The sequence below is a fragment of the Homo sapiens genome, chromosome 17, assembly GCF_000001405.40.
Source record: "Homo sapiens chromosome 17, GRCh38.p14 Primary Assembly".
NCBI lineage: Eukaryota > Metazoa > Chordata > Mammalia > Primates > Hominidae > Homo > Homo sapiens.
The window spans coordinates 22,336,065-22,341,097 of NC_000017.11; positions in this window are offsets into that span (position 1 = coordinate 22,336,065).

The window sequence follows — 5,033 nt, forward strand, 5'->3', positions numbered from 1 at the left end:
ACCTCAAGTGAGTCCCCCACCTTGGTTTCCAAAATTGCTGGGATTACAGGCGTGAGCCACCATGCCCAGCCCAAGATTTAGTTTCCGTTGTTTTGATGCCCTAGGGCCATCTTATTCTACCTTAATTTCTGACGCATCATCTCAGTGGAAATTTTACATTAGGTTCCAAAGTATTTTCCTCTTTTGAAGATTTTATCAGTTGAGTACAGTAGCTCACACCTGTAATCTCAACACTTTGGGAGGCCAAGGTGGGAGGATCAGTTGAGAGCAGGAGTTCAAGACCAGTCTCTGCAACATAGTGAGACACACATTTCTACAAAAAAAATTTTAATTAGGTGGGCATATTTGTGCATTCCTGTGGTCTCAGATTACTACGTAGGCTGAGGAGGGAGGATCACTTGAGCCCAGGAGGTTGAGGCTACAGTGGCCATGATTATACCACTGCACTCCAGCCTGGGTGACAGAGCGATACCCTGTCTTAAAAAAAAATTAATTGGAATTTTTTTTAGAAAACAAAGTATACACTTAGTGACTTGATACAAATGAATGAATTTGATAATCTACAGAAAATAAAACAAATAAATAAATAAAAACCCAAAGCCATTCTTCTTATGTGAATCTCTGGTGTCTCTGAATTATAAGAATTGTGAATTATGATTAATAACAAATATGCATGACAAGGACTCAGTAAGGGATAGGTGTTGATAAACTGCAATGCACACTTACTGGAGTGAGGCCTTTAAAGATGTACAAGAAAAAGAAAGAAAAGGCATTGAAAAATTGCATTGCCTACCAAAACGCTAAAGTTTACCTAAGTCCATTAATCAGCACACACACACACACACACACACACACACACGCAATAGGTGTGTAAAATGGTCAACACAGTCTCCTATGAATGTATCCTTTTATTAATAGGTCTGTGGGGGTAAGAGATGAGGTTCTATAGATCCTGGAATCAGGGATGGGGAATCTGTGGGGTCCCTGGGTTGAGAGATGAGGGTCTGTAGATTACTGATGGGTGGTCTTTGGGATAGTGATGAGGTCCATGGAATCAATTCTTGTGAGTATGTAGGGTCAGTGATGAGGGAATCTGGTGTCAGTGATGGGATGTGTGTGGAATCAATCTTTGAAAGCCAGATTTGTGGTGTCATCTCTCAGGCTGACACATCCTGATCTGTGTGTCAGTGGTGGAAATTCTATGGGGTCAGAGTGTGACTGTCAGGTCCCTGACACTGTGTGTTCTGGGTCTGGCCAAGTGCACGGATTCCCTTGCCTGGTCCTGGCTGGAGAGGCCCTTCTCAAGGACTCCTCACATGAAAGGTGGGTTGGTGGTGGGTTTTGTTTTTGCTTTTGTTTTGTGGTGGAGGTGGGGGTGGGTTGGCTTTTTCTTTAGGGTTTAGTTTTGTCTCCTAGAGACCACAGACACATGCAACTTTTAGGAAGAAATTTTTGTCTGGGTGGTCGCTAGGTCCTTTGGGCCAAGCCATCTAATGGGAGTAAAGCTGACCATTCCCTCAGCGCGGTTCAGATCTAGACTGTCATTTTGAGGTGTCCTCAAGGTGGCGTGCAAGTGGGTTGTGGCTTTGAGTGGCAGGTGTGTGGGAAGAAACAACTAAGAAGACCCAGGAGCGCTCCTAGCCTGGATCTGTCACAGCTGGAAGAACAGCCTCCCTGACCCATCAGGCGCCAATGGGAGGTACCTCTGGGCTTTGAGAGGCTGGTGGAGGTGGGACCTCCAGACCTAGAGATTCTGGGCACAGAAGCCTGTTACTGCCAGACCCTGAGGCGTTGCCATGGGATCCAAGGGTGTTTCAGGTCAGATCAGAGCCTTTCTCAGATAATTATTTCGGTAACTTGTCCAGCGCACGCTGCTATGAAGGCTTAATGTGCCGTCTCCCGCAGTCTTCTTTGGTCTGAGAGCCACTTGTTTCTTACATCCCTGTGCTAATCTCACCATCTGCTCCTACATACCCCAGGCATTTGCCACATGCTGGTCCTCTCTTTCCTGACAGGCGGGACGTCTCTCCAGCTTCTGTGAGGACAATTCAAATTATGGAGGAGGGGGCTGATGCAGGGCAGCATGCTGAGGGGAGTACCGGGCAGTTGGAGGAGCAGGGGCTCATTTTTCTTTGTAGCTCAGATTCCTAAGCCTGTGACTTTGAGTATCAGTGTCTTCCTTGCAAAGTTTCAATCTGAGGTTCTTGGGGAGAGTGCAGAATTGGAACCCGATGGAAGCCTGGTGGGGAGAGGGGTGGATGGTGGGAACATGGAGAATGTGTCAGGTTGTGTCTATTCCTGACACCTTACTTTGTCTGTTGGAGTTTCCCAGTCTGTTCCAAATGCACTCTCTCGACCCTGAAGGGACCTGAGGGGGGATGTTGGTCACCAGTGTGTGCTCCCCTGGACTCGATTGGAATTGGTCCCACAAAGTGTTATTTATTTATTTATTTATTTGGAGGGAGTCTCGCTCTGTCACCCAGGCTGCAGTGCAGTGGGGCAATCTCAGCTCACTGCAACCTCTGATTCCCAGGTTCAAGTGATTCTCCTGCTTCAGCCTCCCTAGTAGCTGGGACTACAGGTGTCCGCCACCACACCTTGCTAATTTTTTTATTTTTAGTAGAGACAGGGTTTCACAATGTTGGTCAGGCTGGTCTCGAACTCCTGACCAGGTGATCGACCCACCTTGGCCTCTCAAAGTGCTGGGATTACAGGCGGGAGCCATCACACTCCGCCAGTCCCACAAAGTTAGGCATTATAGTACATTGCTACTTTTGAATCACTTATTTTTTACTTGTGTTTTTCCCCCTCCTTTTATTGATTGATTGACACAGAGTCTCACTGTGTCACCCAGGCTGAACTGCAGTGGCACAATCTCGGTTCATTGCAACCTCTGCCTCCCGGGTTCAAGCGATTCTCCCACTTCAACCTTCCAAGTAGCTGGGATTACAGGTGCATGCCATCACTCCTGGCTAATTTTTGTATTTTCAGTAGAGACAGGGTTTCACCATGTTGGCTAAACTGGCCTCAAACTTCTGACCCCAAGTGATCCACCTGCCTTGGCCTCCCAAAGTGCTGACATAGGCATGAGCCTCCTTTCCCAGACTTCCCTCCTTTTCCTTCAGGGATTTTAAATGTTTTCTTTCCTCCATCTATTTAATAATATGTGATTGCCTTGAGGATTTCAACTTGAATTAAAATTACATATATTTACCTGTCTTTATTAATATTGAAACATATTAAAATAATACATGTTCATAATGAAAATGAAACATTACAAATTAATACACAGGAAAGGCAGTATTCCCCTTCCAGTTCCACCCTTGAAATAACCAGTTAACAAGATGATGAGCATCTTTCCATGATGTTCTCCAAGAGATTCATATAAGTATTGGCCAGCAAACAACAGAATATATAGGCCAGGCATGGTGGCTCATGCCTGTAATCCCAGCACTTCGGGAGACTGAAGCAGGTGGATCTTTTGAGGTTAGGAGTTCAAGACTAACCTGGACAACATGGTGAAACCCCATTGCTACAAAAAATACAAAAATTATTTGGACGTGGTGGTGAGCGCCTTAATCCCAGCTACTTGGGAGGTGGAGGTACAAGAATCTCTTGAACCCGGGAGGAGAAGGTTGCAGTGAGCCAATATCGCATTACTGCACTCCAACCTGGGTGACAGACTGAGATTCCATCTCAATAAATAAGTAAATACATAAAATAAAGAGAAAAAAAGAAAGAAAAAAGAAAAAGAAGAAAGAAAGAAGAAAGAAAGAAAGAGAAAGAAAGAAAGAAAAAGAAAGAAAGAAAGAAAGAAAGAAAGAAAGAAAGAAAGAAAGAAAGAAAGAAAGAAAGAGTGTTCCTATTTCTCCACATCCTCTCCAGCACCTGTTGTTTCCTGACTTTTTAATGATTGCCATTCTATCTGGTGTGAGATGATATCTCATAGTGGTTTTGATTTGCATTTCTCTGATGGCCAGTGATGATGAGCATTTTTTCATGTGTTTTTTGGCTGCATAAATGTCTTCTTTTGAGAAGTGTCTGTTCATGTCCTTTGCCCACTTTTTGATGGGGTTGTTTGTTTTTTTCTTGTAAATTTTGTTTGAGTTCATTGTAGATTCTGGATATTAGCCCTTTGTCAGATAAGTAGGTTGTGAAAATTTTCTCCCATGTTGTAGGTTGCCTGTTCACTCTGATGGTAGTTTCTTTTGCTGTGCAGAAGCTCTTTAGTTTAATTAGATCCCATTTGTCAATTTTGGCTTTTGTTGCCATTGCTTTTGGTGTTTTGGACATGAAGTCCTTGCCCACGCCTATGTCCTGAATGGTAATGCCTAGGTTTTCTTCTAGGGTTTTTATGGTTTTAGGTCTAACGTTTAAATCTTTAATCCGTCTTGAATTGATTTTTGTTAGAATGGCAATCATTAAAAAGTCAGGAAACAACAGGTGCTGGAGAGGATGTGGAGAAATAGGAACACTTTTACACTGTTGGTGGGACTGTAAACTAGTTCAACCATTGTGGAAGTCAGTGTGGCGATTCCTCAGGGATCTAGAACTAGAAATACCATTTGACCCAGCCATCCCATTACTGGGTATATACCCAAATGACTATAAATCATGCTGCTATAAAGACACATGCCCACGTATGTTTATTGCAGCATTATTCACAATAGCAAAGACTTGGAACCAACCCAAATGTCCAACAATGATAGACTGGATTAAGAAAATGTGGCACATATACAACATGGAATACTATGCAGCCATAAAAAATGATGAGTTCATGTCCTTTGTAGGGACATGGATGAAACTGGAAACCATCATTCTCAGTAAACTATCACAAGAACAAAAAACCAAACACCGCATATTCTCACTCATAGGTGGGAATTGAACAATGAGATCACATGGACACAGGAAGGGGAATATCACACTCTGGGGACTGTTGTGGGGTGGGGGAGGGGGGAGGGATAGCATGGGAGATATACCTAATGCTAGATGACGAGTTAGTGGGTGCAGTGCACCAGCATGGCACATGTATA